Consider the following 18,402-nt stretch of genomic DNA (forward strand, 5'->3'; position numbering starts at 1 on the left):
ATCTATCTTGTTTTTAAGTAGTACAAATAAATACATTTTTGTGGTGAACTTACTCATAAAGGTGAATGTTGAAGATTAATTGTAGAAGGAAATGAGATAAAGTGTATGGAGGACATATGCAAGTGAGTGAGTATATAGAAGTCAGGTATTGCTCAGTAGAGTTGCCAGGAATTCTGACAATGCTATGGAAAGTCAGACATTTTTTTTGTTTTGTCTAGTTCTTAGATCATTGTGTAATTAGGGTATGTGTCCATGTAGTTTGGTTGTTGGGATTTTTCTTGGCTTTTTGTTTTTACTCTGTACTTGCTTTGCTGTTGAGGTATTCTAGAAGCTCCGTTGATAGCTTTGCATCCGTAAGATTTGTTAGTAGAGACCCTGTTTGTTTTACTGACTAGCAAAACATTAGGAAGTTTAGAGCAGATGTCTTTTAATCATACCCCTGCTGCTTGTAGCTACATTTGAAGTGAGGTTGATTCCTTCTAACAGCAAATGGAAAGTAAGAAAAGGACCTGTTCGATGGTTGCTTTTCCATAATTTGTCTTGTTTCCTTTGATTTTTATCTGTGCTGTTGTCATTCAAAATACCATTTATAAATTAACCTCCTAAATTTTTTATTGAAAATATGATTTGATTAATTTCTTTCTTTCTCTTTTTTTTTTTTTTTTGAGATGGAGTCTTGCTCTGTTGCCAGGCTGGAGCGCAGTGGTGCTATCTCGGCTCACTGCAACCTCCGCCTCCTGGGTTCAAGCGATTCTCCTGTCTCAGCCTCCCGAGTAGCTGGGAGTACAGGCATGCACCACCACGCCCAGCTAATTTTTGTATTTTTAATAGAGACAGGGTTTCACCATGTTGGCCAGAATGGTCTCGATTTCTTGACCTCGTGATCTGCCTGCCTCAGCCTCCCAAAGTGCTGGGATTACAGGCGTGAGCCACTGTGCCCAGCCTATTAATTTCTTTTTAGTCATGTATGTTTCACAATTAAAAATTAAGTAGGGAAGACTATTTTGTTGCTCTCTGGAAAGCTAAATGATAGCTTTTCTGTAATTTCTTATCAGTATCAAGCAAATATAGTTACAAGAGAACATATATAATACATGCAACAAACTTGATCTTGTGTTAGCAATAGCAATAGATAGCTGAATTAGGAATTTAACAAAAAAAGATAAACTCTTCCCTTTATCCTCATTCTCCATAATTCATGTTAAGTGTACTGAGGAAATACCAACAGCTGAACCAGCTAATGACTATATGATAATTGCAGGTTCCCAACATTGTTAAAGCTCTTCACAAACAGATGAAAGAAAAAAGTGTGAAGACCCGACAGTGTTGTTTTAACATGTTAACTGAGCTGGTAAATGTATTACCTGGGGCCCTAACTCAACACATTCCTGTACTTGTACCAGGTATGAAAGAAACATAAATCTCTTTTGGGACTTATTGTAGCCTTTTTGTTAGGACTTAGATAAGCTTAAATAATTGTTTCCTTTTAAAGGAATATATGTGACAACTTAATATGCACATAGAGCTAACTTTTTAATCTAACAATCTTGAATACCTGAAGTTAGAAATTTGTAAGTAAAAGGTTAAAAGTCTCACCCTAAAATATTTGGCTGTAATATTTATTGTAGATGGTGAAAATTTCTACTTATAGAAATAATATAATGAAGTGGGAACATTAGCAGTACTATAGGGGTTGATTTTTAATTTTTCTTTCTTAAAAGTCTGCACAGCAATGATTGGATTTTTTGTTGGCTTTTTAGGAATCATTTTCTCACTGAATGATAAATCAAGCTCATCGAATTTGAAGATCGATGCTTTGTCATGTCTATACGTAATCCTCTGTAACCATTCTCCTCAAGTCTTCCATCCTCACGTTCAGGCTTTGGTTCCTCCAGTGGTGGCTTGTGTTGGAGACCCATTTTACAAAATTACATCTGAAGCACTTCTTGTTACTCAACAGCTTGTCAAAGTAATTCGTCCTTTAGATCAGCCTTCCTCGTTTGATGCAACTCCTTATATCAAAGATCTATTTACCTGTACCATTAAGAGATTAAAAGCAGCTGACATTGATCAGGAAGTCAAGGAAAGGGCTATTTCCTGTATGGGACAAATTATTTGCAACCTTGGAGACAATTTGGGTTCTGACTTGCCTAATACACTTCAGATTTTCTTGGAGAGACTAAAGAATGAAATTACCAGGTTAACTACAGTAAAGGCATTGACACTGATTGCTGGGTCACCTTTGAAGATAGATTTGAGGCCTGTTCTGGGAGAAGGGGTTCCTATCCTTGCTTCATTTCTTAGAAAAAACCAGAGAGCTTTGAAACTGGGTACTCTTTCTGCCCTTGATATTCTAATAAAAAACTATAGTGACAGCTTGACAGCTGCCATGATTGATGCAGTTCTAGATGAGCTCCCACCTCTTATCAGCGAAAGTGATATGCATGTTTCACAAATGGCCATCAGTTTTCTTACCACTTTGGCAAAAGTATATCCCTCCTCCCTTTCAAAGATAAGTGGATCCATTCTCAATGAACTTATTGGACTTGTGAGATCACCCTTATTGCAGGGGGGAGCTCTTAGTGCCATGCTAGACTTTTTCCAAGCTCTGGTTGTCACTGGAACAAATAATTTAGGATACATGGATTTGTTGCGCATGCTGACTGGTCCAGTTTACTCTCAGAGCACAGCTCTTACTCATAAGCAGTCTTATTATTCCATTGCCAAATGTGTAGCTGCCCTTACTCGAGCATGCCCTAAAGAGGGACCAGCTGTAGTAGGTCAGTTTATTCAAGATGTCAAGAACTCAAGGTCTACAGATTCCATTCGTCTCTTAGCTCTACTTTCTCTTGGAGAAGTTGGGCATCATATTGACTTAAGTGGACAGTTGGAACTAAAATCTGTAATACTAGAAGCTTTCTCATCTCCTAGTGAAGAAGTCAAATCAGCTGCATCCTATGCATTAGGCAGCATTAGTGTGGGCAACCTTCCTGAATATCTGCCGTTTGTCCTGCAAGAAATAACTAGTCAACCCAAAAGGCAGTATCTTTTACTTCATTCCTTGAAGGAAATTATTAGCTCTGCATCAGTGGTGGGCCTTAAACCATATGTTGAAAACATCTGGGCCTTATTACTAAAGCACTGTGAGTGTGCAGAGGAAGGAACCAGAAATGTTGTTGCTGAATGTCTAGGAAAACTCACTCTAATTGATCCAGAAACTCTCCTTCCACGGCTTAAGGGGTACTTGATATCAGGTAGGTATCTAGATTTTCTTACTTAAAAAGTTTTTTATTGATAGTTGGTTGCCTTAAAAGACACCTAATAAAGAAGTTAAGCCATGTCTATATTTTCTTAAACCTAAAAGCTAAGTATGTGATGAAGAAAAACTGTCTTTCGTAGTATGGAGTGATATTCAAATGACATTTTGTTGTTTTAAAGGATAGTGTGGTAATTAGATAATGGTTAAATCTGTTCTAATTCCTCATGATAACTACATTTTAATGTTACTATATTGTGTTAAAATGTGGAAAAGATGTATCTAATGAATTAACATAATCTGAAGAGCTTGTTGATACTAATTACAATAAGTATAATTGGTGACAGTACTTTTTTCAAATGGAAGATTCTGGAAGAGTTTTCAGATTTACCAGTGTCATCCCCATTAGAACAAGTAAAAGGTAGTAATATTAATAGCAGTAATAGCCATTCATTCTTAGACATTGCTTTCTGTTTTAGTAAAAAATTTGAAGATTTTTAAGCGGTTTTGGATTTAGCTAGTTCTATTTTGTGAGGGCGAGATCGTCCACTGCTGCTTCAAGTCCCTCCTTCCCAGAAGGAATTGTTTCTTTGAAATCTAATGGGATTATATTTTGTGCTCATAAGTAAGTTAATTTTGCTCCTTTGGATTCATGTGTGCAATAAGAAATACCCTTCTTGGCCAAGGAGAATTCTAAGGCATTGAAGACACTGGTGTTATTTGGAGTGGTTTAAAAATGATGTCCGTGAGTTTTAGTGGACTACATACCAATAGACTTGCAATTTATTTTTAACTAGGCTCATCATATGCCCGAAGCTCAGTGGTTACGGCTGTGAAATTTACAATTTCTGACCATCCACAACCTATTGATCCACTGTTAAAGAACTGCATAGGTAAGTGGAAACAAAGATAAACATACTGATTTTTGGACTTTAGAATTCTCAAGAAACTCTTGAACTTAGTAACTAGAAATATCGAGGAATTAAAATGCTTATAAAATAATTGTTTAAAAGAAAATTGATATGATCTTACAACTTTTAACAAATTGCATTTGCCTGTATTGTTTGTAATTATTCCTAGATGATTTTGCACATAAATGAAGTTATAATATACCAGCATGTCTTTAGAGTCAACTACATATTTGATAGCCATATTTTTGGGGTGACCTAAGATAGCTTTAGTGGATAAAGCAAAAAGATACTAGATTTATATGGCCAGTCTGAAGTTTCTCCCTAGATTTAAATGAGTCTTGCTTGAGCTATTAAGGCCTCAAATTTCAATTATTACTTCTAACACCCAAGGAGATCTATGGAGATTTCCATATTTAAGGTCAAAATAACCTAAGAATAAAAAATAAAGGGGGGGAGAGCTAATTCCCAGAAGAACTAAGAGGAGATAACCCAAGAAAAACTAGGGCTTCTCTATTTCTGTGAAGACAAGAATTAGCTTTTGGGATTATTTCTGATTTTATAACCTCCTTGCATTTTGTTTTTATCATTGGTTTTCCTAGAGTTTGATAATAGCCAAAAACACCTCAGAATTTAGTTTGTTGCTTTCTTGAGGACAGGATAATGGAGATAACCATCAGGGAGGATTGAGGGATTTGGCAAAGAAGCTTTGTAGCTTTGTGCCATTCTTCAGTGTGCCAGAAAGAAAAAAAATACAATATAAAATTTGAACTGCATAGAAAGGGATTGCCAATTCAGAATAAGGAAAGCACAGGCACAAATGGGTTCTATTGCTAGGGCCTAGAAATTATTTAAAGTCTATATGAGAAACAACTTATTGGCATTTCCCCCACACATTTTCTGCTTTGATATGTTTATTGAGGACATTGGTATTATGCAAAATAGGACAGAGGAAGAGGCCCATGCCATATCTCTAGAAATATCTTTCCATGTTGACAGCAGTCAACCAGTATGCATTGTTGATACAGTTACTCAGCCAGGTAGTTAGCATTCTAATTGAATTATGATCTAGTTAAGTATTCATGACTATTTGAACATCAGAACCACCTGGGAAACTTTTTAAAAATTGAAATTGCTAGTTCATGACACCATTTTGTCCATAATAGCAATATTTTAGATGCTTTACTGAAAGCGGATATATACTCTATTGTAATTACTCTTCTAATCTACCAGTTTAGTATGCAAATAAAGGGGAGGGGAGATTAGTTTGGTACATTTATATTGTTTTTGAAACCACGCTGTTTCTCAGACTTTTTTTTTTAAATCAGTGCTGGAACTTTCTTGGATATCAACATTGGGTTTCCCAATCTACAGTATCTGAAGTCTCTCTTTCCTCCCATATTTTCAAATTGCAGGTTTTTCAAGTTGGCATTCAAGTCTTTTATCTCTCCTACATTTCCCTGTGTATTCTAAAAGATTGCTGATGATAGAGTTGAGATCATATAATGATGAATAATAGCTACATGTGAATACTTAGTGTGTACTAGACATTGTCTTCAACAATATATGCGCCGTTTATTCTGCTCAGTATAGCTCTAAAAGGTTTATAATCCTCATTTTATTGACTGAGAAACTGAGGTTCTTGCCTAAAGTAACTTGCACAAAATCATACATTTAACAAGTAAAATGATTTGAACCACCAACCATGTGACTCCAAAGATCTTTGCATTATACTTTCTTGCCCACATTTGCAAGAGTAAGCAGACTTTTAAAATACCTAGATGGCTTCTCTGGCTTTTGTCCTATGTTAGCTTTCAATTTTCTCCTTTTATATTATTTTCCTGTGAATTCGTGTATTTCTTACTGAAGACAGAAATAAAGTAGGGCTTTTGGAGGCACGTTTCTCTTTCATTTGATTAATTGTATATCTGCTAATAGTACTCCATCTTTATTAAGCAGTGGGTCTGTCTTCACTTCATTTTTTTATTCTTATTTTGAACTTAGTTTAAAAATATTTTTGTTGCTGCTTTTAGTGAACTACAAGGAGAATCAAGCATGTGATTAGTCTTTTTAGCTCTGTCTCTGTCATATCTTATATCTATAGAAGTGATATTGAGGAACTTTATGGACTCTTCTTCCATACCCTCTGCATTATAAGTGCTGAGAGTGGATTATCAATTGAAAATATATTCACCTTCAGAAATGATAGTTGCGTTGCTGCTGAAAGAAACGTTATGGTTCACTTAGTGTTTCATCAGGTTCTTCCCTGACCGTCACTGAAGAAATAACAATGACACCAGCAAAAATAAATTATATCAACTTAGAGAAAATATAATGTATATTGTATTTTAAGTTTATCATGTCTGTCTGTTGCTTTTCTTGTAATATTTCAGGTGATTTCCTAAAAACTTTGGAAGACCCAGATTTGAATGTGAGAAGAGTAGCCTTGGTCACATTTAATTCAGCAGCACATAACAAGCCATCATTAATAAGGGATCTATTGGATACTGTTCTTCCACATCTTTACAATGAAACAAAAGTTAGAAAGGAGCTTATAAGAGAGGTAAGTTAGATCACACTGTTTATTTGAGCTTGTCTTTGACTTAAGTATTGTATATCCACACGTTCTTTTTTGCTTTAACAGGTAGAAATGGGTCCATTTAAACATACGGTTGATGATGGTCTGGATATTAGAAAGGCAGCATTTGAGTGTATGTACACACTTCTAGACAGTTGTCTTGATAGACTTGATATCTTTGAATTTCTAAATCATGTTGAAGATGGTTTGAAGGACCATTATGATATTAAGGTAAGATGTTTGTGCCTATTTATACAATGTTTTAGAAGAAGACTTTGCTAGAGCAACTTTCACCCTTGTAATTTACTCATGTGTCTGAGAAAAATCAGGTTGTCTGTGAAGATTTTGATAAGCATATTGTAAACTATAAAGTGCAAAAGTAATAGGCAGTGTAACACCAGTTGACGTGTAAGAAAGATCCAGAGCCCTTTTTATTGGAGGAGGAAGTGGCAGTGGATGCAAAATGCTGTGTGCCCACTTGCTTAGTGAATAGTCCCTAGATCCTTTCCCTCAAAAAAGTCCCGACAGATTTTGCTGTTTAAAGTATAAATCTGTAACTTTTTGGCCTGTCTTAACATTGGACCATAGTTGCTACCCATGGAGGGTTTTCTTAGCATTGTCTTGATTAAGTCTCCTGAGCTACCTTTGGGGCTAGTCTGAATTGTAACTGTATCATTTACCTGAATGAGGAATTTTTGTTTTTCAATATAATATACTGTGTTTAATATCAAGAATTTTGTTATAGGACATGGAACTTTTCAGATATACAAAACAATCTGTAGAAGCTACTTGAGAGAAATCATACTGCGTCTTATGTTTGGATAATGAATTTTGCATATAAGTGTTCTTTGTTTTCCTGTGTGTTCGTCTCCATTTAAAATGTGAACAGTAAAAGGGTGATTTGAAAAATGAAAAATATATGCATTGTGTCTTTTTCATCTACTCTTCCATTTAGGGCTTTTGGCCAAGCAGGACAAAAGTGGTAACTCAGCAGTAATTGAGCCATACTACCCGAACTCCTACTCTTAGGTTTCCATGTGTGGTAGTGACCTGAGCCTCTCAAAGTTCAATGAAGAGGGCCTCCCCACCAAGAAGTAAAAGGATGTGCTTGTTTAATTCTATGAGTTTATAGTCCAAGAGAAAAAGGTTTATGGGTTATCAGGTTTTACATGGATTAATCTGAATAACTGGTCAACTCTGTTATGATAGTGGAAACTTATTATGAAATTGTGTTCCAGTTCAGTAATTTTCTAGTTCTATGATTCTCAATTCTGGTGCACATGAGCTTTAAAAAATAAAAATAAAAAAAATAATGTGTGCCATATTCTGACAGGTTCAGTAAAACTCTCTGGGGATGGGGCTTGAAGAATGGGTATGTTTCTAAAGCTCTCTGGATGATTCTAATGTGCAACCAAGATTGAAAACCACTTTTCTAGTTCTTATATCTGTTTGAGACAAATCTGTCTGATTCTGATTGGCAGATTACATTAAAAGGAAGGTTTACTTTGCATGCTAGTTATTTTCCTTTAAAGGATTTGTCAGAATTTAGTATTTTGTTTTTAGAAAATGATGTCAAATCTAAATTCTGTCTTTTTTATTCCTAATAGATGCTGACATTTTTAATGTTGGTGAGACTGTCTACCCTTTGTCCAAGTGCAGTACTGCAGAGGTTGGACCGACTTGTTGAGCCATTACGTGCAACATGTACAACTAAGGTAAGAAATGATAAGTATCAACCTAGGTCAGACTTGGTGTATTGGGGATTCCTAGCCAATTCTTTTCTCTAGCTTTCCAAATATAACTATTCCAGTGCTCTGTGTAGCAGTTGGTTTAAAAAGTTAACCTATCGAATACTGATATTTTATAAAACTTAGCCCTGTTAACGGCTATTCTTAAAAGTTTTTGTTTATTGCTATATCAATATGTTAACATTTTGAAGTACTGATACATATTTGAAGTACTGATATGGGATAAAATGTGATCAGGCCACAAAAGAGGAAATTTTTAATTCTGGTTGGAAGGGGAGTCAGAAGGTTTCATATTAGGTTGACAACATTTGCAATGAACCTCGAAAAATCAAGATTTTTTTTTTTTTAGACCAAGAAGATGAAACGGGCTTTGAATAAAGGCCTGGAGATGTCATCATATGGTGTGTTTGAAAAAGTGAATAATAGAGTATAGCAAAGAATAGGGTAGCTAGAGGAGTACTTTCTTGATGGGGGCTAAAGTGTGAGACTTGCTAAGCAGATAGTTGAAACAAAGAGTGTCCTACTCTCTTTGTTACAATCATTTGGGTCTAGATTTTCTGTTTTTATAATGGGGCTTTGTGTAAAATATTCCCTTAAAAGAAAAGGAGACAGCTACTTTAAAAATAAGTTTAAAAACAGTTGTTCTTAGAATGTAATATGCCTTATGGACCTACGAGAGTAGCTTTTAGCAGGAAGATCTTATGTGCTTAAATTTTGTTCATGTAAGAGCTGTCTTTTATAGCATGTAATCTAAGTTTACTCCATCTTACAGGTAAAGGCAAACTCAGTAAAGCAGGAGTTTGAAAAACAAGATGAATTAAAGCGATCTGCCATGAGAGCAGTAGCAGCACTGCTAACCATTCCAGAAGCAGAGAAGAGTCCACTGATGAGTGAATTCCAGTCACAGATCAGTTCTAACCCTGAGCTGGCGGCTATCTTTGAAAGTATCCAGAAAGATTCATCATCTACTAACTTGGAATCAATGGACACTAGTTAGATGTTTGTTCACCATGGGGACCATTACATATGACCATACAATGCACTGAATTGACAGGTTAATCATAAGACATGGAAAGAGAAGTGTCTAAAAGCTTCAAAATGTTCCACTTTTTTTTCCTTCATGGAGACTGTTTGTTTGGCTTTCTTCCATTGTTGTTTTTGTAGCATTTATTTCAGAAATGTGTATTTCCATAATCCAGAGGTTGTAAAACCACTAGTGTTTTAGTGGTTACAGCAACATTTGAAATGGAAACTAAAAGTTAGGATTTTATGGAGTATGGAGATAGGGTCCAGTATCTATTTACCCTGTAATGTTTAGGATTAAAATGTTAAAATTTTGTGACCATGAATTTCTTTCTTTTATAAATTTTCTCATTTAAAAATCAAAAATCTTGCAAAACAAAAACCATGTTTCTTTTTCTTGTATAACTTTTTGTTTTCAGCAACATAAATTGATTTTTAGCTGGCAGACAAGAATATCCATATAAGATTTGTTAACCATTTCAGAGAGTTTGGCAATTTTTAAAAGATAATAAGGTATCATTTTTAAGTATGAAAATTAACAATATCCCTGTTGCGCACACTAATTTTGCATGAGTAAGTTTACAAATATGTATCGTCTGTAAAGCAGCATGTGCAGATTATTCATAATATAGAAGTTAAAATAAGTATTAGTGCAATTTTCAGATATTTATTTTTGCACAGAAAACACATTATCTGGAGAGAAAGAAAGGAGAATTTTTGAGACTTGGGTTTTCTTAATGCCAGTGTGAATTTGCAGATGTTTTCAGAAAATCAAGTCACAGTAACAATTTGCCACTTTTTTCTATTATAAATCTTCTTACTTAAATTTTGAATATTTAGTTTTTCTCAGTTACCCATTTGTGTGTGTGTGATTCCACTTAGAAATTCTTAAAACCAGATTTTTCTTTCATTCCGTTTGGATGTCTACATTCCTTATCAAAGGATATAAATACTGTGTATGCTTTTGAATTTTATTTTTAGGAAAATTCTGAAGCCAGCTATCACAGGTTTGTTAGCTAATAATAGTATTTTCTTTTAGTTGAGTTAGGTTTTTCCCCATCTCCTGTAGAGCGAATTTACATATTGTATTGGGTAAGTGTTCACTACTTTTCCTGATTAAGGGATCTGTGCTGGGGAACAAAGCTTTTGCAGTACCTTATATTGTAGTTAAAATTTTATTTAACATATCCTTCAGTGAGCTCATTTCACACTGTAGCCTCTTCCTTAAAATTTGTGGTGCTCCTGTAACAGTAAGAACTAATTCTGAAATAAAAGACATCTCCTAATGCTGTGCAAACATAGTTTACATGTATTGAAGGAGGCAGTTGTTAAATTGAGTGACCAATTTAAGCAATCAGATATTTGAAAACTGCACCCTTTAGTTTTGAAACTGTGAATTAGAAACACTTTTCCTGCTGTATTACTACCTGCTTTAACATCCAAATATACAGTGATTTTAAATGATAACATACTGTGGTTATTAGATTAACAGCTTGATTTTGAATGTTCAGATGATAATGCAGAAGACATCACTTCTAGTAAGGATTTTGACTAGTGCATTGATGTTGAAGTTGGTGCCATTTCAAAATGTGGCAGGTGATAATCTTTTACCATAATTTGCATAAAACTGTAATAGAAGTTTATTTTGAGATGTTAGTATATTATGTACTATGCATTTCTGTGGTATAGATGTTGTGGATATATTTAAGTATTTGGTTACATGGTTTTACAATAAATTACAATACTGCAGGCTCTAGGACTGAACAGGAGACTGACATGCATATGTTGTGTGAATGTCTTAGTTGGGTAAAGTTAAATCCAAATACTTCAACTGGCTTTTTCTTCAGTTTGTTTGTTTTTAACTTTCAAGATGCATGTTTTGTTTTGTTTTGCTTTGTTTTTGTCTCTTAAGCCAATTCATTTTTCTAACAGTTGAAATTCTTTTAGTACTAAAGAAATAGATACTGCTCTTTTATGGCTTTAGTGTTTATATACCTGTTTATATGCATACATTAACAAAATTAGTAACAGCAGTGCTTAGAATTTCAATGCTGTGTCATACTGATGATTAACTCCATACTCCTAGTGGTGATGTGGTCCAGATACTGGAATGGAAGTGGCAGGATGTGGAGTCCAGACATAGTCTACCACTCATGCTACTTACTAGTAATATTAAGGTGTTAAACTTAGGAATTTGTCACATGTAGGTTCCTGAGGAGATCTAAAAGTTAATACAAAACCAAGCTGTTTACTGATTTTCATGAGAACATTTAAGTTAGTTTAGGTCTACCTGATTTATTTTAAAAGAAGGCAGAGGGCTGGACGCAGTGGCTTACGCCTGTAATCCCAGCACTTTGGGAGGCCGAGGCGGGCGGATCACGAGGTCAGGAGATCGAGACTATCCTGGCTAACACTGTGAAAACCCATCTCTACTGAAAATACAAAAAATTAGCTGGGCGTGGTGGCAGACGCCTGTAGTCCTAGCTGCTACAGCTGAGGCAGGAGAATGGCGTGAACCCAGGAGGCGGAGCTGGCAGTGAGCCGAGATCACGCCACTGCACTCTGGCCTGGGCAACAGAGCGAGAGTCTGTCTCAAAAAAAAAAAAAAAAAAAAGGCAGGAAGGAAATTTGGTATGGCAGGGCCTAACCTAAAAGGTTATTTATAAAATCAATAGCACTGAATGATAATTTTTTTAATGACAGTCATGTATTTTATTAATGATATCTGAAAGCTGCTTAACCATTAGGAATTACAATTCTTTATGGTTGGAGTATGATGATTTCATCAAATGTTTGAATATTTACATAATTTTTATGTAACCATAATTAAACCAAATTAGTCTTTTTTTCTTCATACTTTTCTTCGGTAAATAGTGAAGAAATAATGGGCATATCTAATTAACCAGTTCTAGTGGGTGTTGTGATATCTTTATATCTAGTTCAGTCTCAGATGTATGAATATGATTATATAGTCATGATTGAAGTTCAAAATGAGGAAGTATACAAAATCCTCAGCCACTGAAAAATTCAGTTAACTTGTTTATACTCCTGTAAGCTCTAGTTAGTCACAAGACAAAGTATATAGTAACACTTTGTAATGAAGTAACATTTTCTGCCCACATTAATTTTACTAAAGACCTAAATTGTTAAAATTAATTGCCAATCTCTGGATATATTATGCTTAGTAAGTGTTTTGAAATTAAAGACCTTAAACATTTCAGCAAGTAAATTTTGGATTCTAGCTCTGTTTTAAATTGAATCCTAATTTTCAAACCACTGCTACCCCAGATTCATACCTGTTTTTGAAATCTTGTTTATGGAATGGAAAATTGACAGTATGGTAATAGTTTATTGACTGATTGGACAAAGGATATTCTGGTTTTAACTGACTTTTCCATTTAAATAAAATTCATTTGATAATTTTGGTTGCAAAAGTGGAACACAGTGGAAGTATTTGGCTACAGGCTACCCAAATCTCATCAGATAAGGCTGTTTTCTTAAAGGAAATGCAAAATGAAATCATATGTTTTCCTTTTCCAATACAGTAAATTGCTTGTTTTCCTATGAATATCAGAAAAGATTTTGTAAACACCTTTGCTGTAGTTTCAGGCAAGATCTTTCAGCAACATGTTTTTGCTCTTTGTAACTTAGAAAGTTAGCTCTGAATCCAAAAACTACTGAAGTGAGTAATGCATATAATTTTACTTTTTTGGACCCTATAATGCCAGTGTGTCAGGTTTCAGAATGATATTTAGTAGACAGAAATACCTAATTTTGTTTTGGAATCTTAATACCCTGTCCTCTTCATAACTTTCTAGTGGTGATTTTAGCAAGTTTAATTATTTTGCTGAGGTCTTAGAAGACAGAAAGCTTATGCTATGTAAAGTGACATTGTTTCCAGATTAGGAAGTATTGGAATTAATTTGCTATTGCCAGTAAGTAATGGTTGATGGATATTAAGTGATTTTAGTCTAGAATGCTCTCAAAAAAATAGTAAAGAATTGTACTTCAGGGCCAGATGGCAGCTCACGCCTGTAATCTCAGCACTTTGGGAGGCCAAGGTGGGGGATCACTTGAAGACAGGAGTTGGAGACCAGCTCTAGGCAACATAGTGAGACCCTGTCTCTACCAAAAAGAAGAAAAAAGAAATCAACAACATGCAACCATAAGAATGGATGAGATGGCCCTAAAAGAATAAGGATTACATATAATGAGAAGACGTGTGGGCTGAAATACCTAGTGAACAATATTTAAGGGAAACTGAAGTGCAAATGGCCTCACAGGTTTGTTTTTGTGTTTAAGACAAGGTCTCACTCTGTTGCCTGGACTGGAGTACATAGCACGAACATGGTTTACTGCACCTCAGCTTCCTGGGCACAAGTGATTCTCCCACCTCAGCCTCCCGAGTAGCTGGGAGTATAGGTGTGTGCCACCACGTCCAGCTAATTTTTTTATTTCCTTGTGGAGATGGGGTCTCATGACCTTGTCCAGGATGATCTCAAACTCCTGGGCTCAAGCAATCCTGTGTTGGCCTCCTAAACTGCTGAGATTATTGCAAGTGCCTCCTTGCCCAGCCACATGTTGTTGATTTCTTTTTTCTTTTTTTTTCTTTCTTAATTTTTTTTTTTTTTTTTTTTTTTGAGATTGATGGAGTCTTGCTTTGTCTCCCAGGCTGGAGTGCAGTGGCGCAATATCGGCTCACTGCAACCTCTGCCTCCCGGGTTCTAGCTATTCTCCTGCCTCAGCCTCCCAAGTAGCTGTGATTACAGGCGTGTGCCACCATGCCCAGCTAATTTTTGTATTTTTAGTAGAGATGGAGTTTTGCCATGTTGGCCAGGCTGGTTTCAAACTCCTGATCTTAGGTGATACACCCGCCTCGGCCTCCCAAAGTGCTGGGATTACAGGCGTGAGCCACGTCCCCCAGCCAGTTTCTTAATCTATACATCTAGCCCAGTCCATGCCCCTGTTTCAGACTATTATATCCAACCACCTGCTATACATCTCATAAAGGTATCTCAAACACAGCATATCTAAAGCTGAAGTCATCATCTTGCCCTGGTTTTTCCTGTCTCTTTGCTGATGGCATCCCATTTACCCAGTCATTCAAACTGGAAATCTAAAAGCCTCACTTAGCAAGAGTTTGGAGGCAGAATATGATAAAGAACAAGGACTCTGGGAGGCCAAGGCAGGTGGATTGCTTGAGGTCAAGAGTTCGAGACCAGTCTGGCCAACATGGCGAAACCCCGTCTTTGCTAAAAAAACACAAAGAAATTAGCTAGACGTGGTGGCACATGCCTGTAGTCCCAGCTGTGTGGGAGGCTGAGGCAGGGGAATTGCTTGAACCTGGGAGGTGGAGGTTGCAGTGACCCAAGATTGCATGCACCACTGCACTCCAGCCTGGGTGACAAAGCGAGACCCTGTCTCAAAAAAAACAAGGACTCTACAGATAGATAGACATCATATATCATATTAGTTTGAATCCTGGCTGTTAGCTGTTAGACTTGGGCAAATAATTTAACCTCAACTTTCCCTATCTATAAAATGGGAATTAAAATATTTGCACCTTATAGGGTTATTGTGAGGATTAAATAGGAACATTGTATAAAGCACTTAAAACAGTACCTGGGACATACTAAGTAATATAATTGTTAACTCTTACTAGCATTCTGTCCCTTTTATTTCCTAAATATCTCTCATGCCCATCTCCTAAATATCTCTTTCCTAAATATCTCTCATGCTTTTGGCTTAAGACCTCTTTTCCTCCTTATCTATTGACTGGACTGCGGCAAATGCCTGCTAATCGTTATTTTTGTGTTCATTCATTTAGCAAGCCAATTTATTACGCGCTTAGGGTGCTGCCAGGGCTACAAAAGCTGTTGAGACTGTACTTGATATGAAGAAGCTTGCTGATTATCATGGGAAGACTGACATAAGGAAGCACCATAAAATTCTGCTGTATGAGAGGTATACACGGGATACTGGGGGTTAATAATTGAGGGTATGGTCCATTCAACATGAGTGAGACAGAAACAATTCATAAAGGAGATGAAATGTCTTGAGGAATGAGCTCTTAGAAGAATAGTTTTCAAATGAGTGTGCATCACAGTCACCTGTAAGACTTATTAAAACAGATCGCTGGGCCCTACACCCAGAGGCTGTGGTTCAGTAGGCTGTAGTAAACCAGTAATTTGTATTTCTATGACGTTCCCAGGTTCTAATGCTGTTCCCCAAGGCCACACCTTGGAAACCACCACATTAAAATACCCAGAAGGCATTAATTCCCAGTCCTTCCTCTACACAGCTGCAAAACAATGGTCCTGACCATTTCATCTTTGCACTACATCCTTCACTGTCTCTCTTTTGCCCATAGGATAAGTACAAACTAGATCTGGTTACTGCCTGCCCCACCAGCCTCAGCATCTCTCACAACTAGGACTAACTTTTTCTTCTGACAACTATAAAATATTTCCCTTGCCTTCTCAAGTTTGCTCAAGGTCAAGTTATGCCTTTTGCCTGGAATGACTTGACTTCTCTTTTGTTTTACTTAGCTGGCTGCTTTTCATCTTGTAGGTTAGGTCAAGGACTCCAGGAAGTCTTCCCTGGACAAGTAATGAAGAGGGCATAATCCAAGGGCCAACTCCCATGTTTGGAACCTGACTCCATTTTCAGGCACGTAATATTGTCAAATTCCTTTTAAAAGCACCTGTCTGTCTGTTAACGTTGGTGCAGATACTGCTATTCCCCTCCTCCATACCATTGCTGATGGTTACTGAGGGTATGGGAAGGGCCGACTAGTCCAGCTGTTCACAAACAGCCCTTAATGTCAAACTGAATACTGCCAACGTAGTTCCAGTTTCTGTATCTAAAGACTCAGCTTGGAGTCACTTGTCTGGACTAAAAGTAACCCCTCCTTGTCTGGTTTGTGACTTTCTGTACTCTGATGCCCCCAGCTTTCTGCCTTCTAGAAATTTGTCAGAATTTCCAAAATTCTTGGGCCTTCCTTCTTGCTCTATATATGGTTTTGGATTCATTCCTTTTAAAAAATATTTACTGTCATTTCAGTAGAATTTTGACACAATAAATATAAGCACATCAGATTTTTTGCCATCTTGAAGCATCTGTTATTTCTTGGTCTTTGGTAATGCTTTACTGAGAAACATTATAATATAGTTGTAAAAGCTCAGGCTCTAAACCTGGGTTTAAATCTGGTTCTACCACTTCTTGAGAGTGGGACTTTGGGCAAATTATTAATGTATCTAGTGTTACCAGTGGAGGGGCTTGACTACGAATTGTCCAGGTCCTGGGCATTTTGAACAAAGAACTGAACAAAACGCGCAAAGTAGCAGAGGAATGAAATGCAGGAATGAAGCAGCAAAAGCAGGAATTTTATGAAAGCGAGAAAGCACTCTACTGGGTGGGAGTGGGCCTGAGCAAGTGGCTCAAGGGCCCAGTTACAAAGTTTTCTGGGCTTTAAGTATCCCATTTGAGGTTCTTATCATCTACCCCTTATCTGGATGAAGTATTTGGTCTGTGGCTAAAGGCTGAGGTGAATTGGCACCCTATGCACACGAAGAGATGGTCCCTGTGTGGCCCTCAGCCAATCCAGGGTACTCTTCCTTTCCATCTCAGATGTGGTGGAAGTGGGAGGGTTGTAGAGAGAGTAGCCTTTGATCCTTAGTTACTTCGCTTGGGGAGATGGGGTTTTTCCCTTTGGGTTTAGCTTTAGGAAGTTTGTGTTGATTGGCCTTAGGATTCCTGCCCCCAGACCCAGGTATTTTCTTTTAGATCCAGCTCTGGGAAGTCAGCGTGATTTGGCCTTAGATTTCCTGCCCCCAGACCTTGGTGATTTCTCTTTTAAAAAGTTAGCACAAATTGCCCTTAAGTTCCCTGTCTCCAGAGCCTGTTCTCCTGCCTCACTAGGTCTATTTCCTCATTAGTCAAATTGAGTTATATGTAGTAGTCTGAAAGAAGAGTCTCCCCCAACATACTAAGAAGGTTAACACACACACACATGAGACAGGGCAGGGACTCCTCTTAGGGGCCTGCCGGATCCCTCCAAGCATGGAAATTAAGGAAAATTCCAAGCACCTAGCTAGCCTTGTGAAGTAAATGAGCAACTTGATAAGCAAGAAGGTAATAATAGCTTGAACAATAGTCACCCAAGTAAGTTCGAGTCACAAGATGTTTGGTTCCCATAGAAACTAAAAATAACATCTTGACACTTGTGCTTGAGTTGTTTTTCAGAAACCTGAACCCCCACCTGATGGAAAATGCTGACTGTCATGTAAACCTCAGTTAAGGAGGAACTGAGGGCTGAACTTCTTTGTTCTAAATTTCTATCTGAGGGGCCTGCAGAGTCATACCCTCAGGCCAACCCTTAACATTCCTTTCTGCTGACCCCAAGTTTTTATACAAAGCCTTGCTTCCTTAACCAATGGTGAATTGAAGAATCTCTGAATCCACCTATCACCTGTAAACCTCTGCTTCGAGATATCTCACCTTTTAGGGCCAAACCAATGTATAACCTCCATGTATTGATTTATGACTGCCTATAAACTCTGCCTCACCGCCTTTAAAAACCTTTGCATGGAGGGCACTGGGGAGTTTGAGTCTTAAGCATTAGCTGCCCAGTTCTCCTTGCTTGGTGCCCTGCAATGAATGCCTACTTTCTCTCAGTGCAGATCTTGGTGTTGGTGTTTGGCTTTGCTGTACCAGGTGGATGGACCTAAGTTTGGTTCAGTAACACATAGTAATTACTCAAAAAATATATTTTAAAAAATACATTTATTCATAAGTGACTGACTACAGAACCTTAATAGTCCACACTGGATTCTTCATGTTACTCCCATTTTCTAAGGGAGGGAAAGGAATGTTATGAAATGTATTTTG

The 18,402-nt window shown here is 37.0% G+C and overlaps 1 protein-coding gene across 4 annotated transcripts in view; it reads left to right on the forward strand.

Moving 5' to 3' along the window:
• CAND1 (cullin associated and neddylation dissociated 1) overlaps nucleotides 1-16,610 on the forward strand; it is a 50,596-nt gene extending 33,986 nt beyond the window's left edge. For all 4 annotated transcript variants that reach the window (NM_001329674.2, NM_001329675.2, NM_001329676.2 and 1 more), the window contains 7 exons: nucleotides 1,262-1,403; nucleotides 1,761-3,254; nucleotides 4,054-4,149; nucleotides 6,558-6,727; nucleotides 6,809-6,973; nucleotides 8,350-8,457; nucleotides 9,263-16,610. In NM_001329674.2, coding sequence (NP_001316603.1) covers nucleotides 1,262-1,403; nucleotides 1,761-3,254; nucleotides 4,054-4,149; nucleotides 6,558-6,727; nucleotides 6,809-6,973; nucleotides 8,350-8,457; nucleotides 9,263-9,487 — 2,400 coding nt within the window. In that variant the 3' untranslated portion in view covers nucleotides 9,488-16,610. The remainder of the gene's footprint in view (nucleotides 1-1,261; nucleotides 1,404-1,760; nucleotides 3,255-4,053; nucleotides 4,150-6,557; nucleotides 6,728-6,808; nucleotides 6,974-8,349; nucleotides 8,458-9,262) is intronic.

Source organism: Homo sapiens, chromosome 12 (assembly GCF_000001405.40).
Source record: "Homo sapiens chromosome 12, GRCh38.p14 Primary Assembly".
In the NCBI taxonomy this organism is placed as follows: Eukaryota; Metazoa; Chordata; class Mammalia; order Primates; family Hominidae; genus Homo; species Homo sapiens.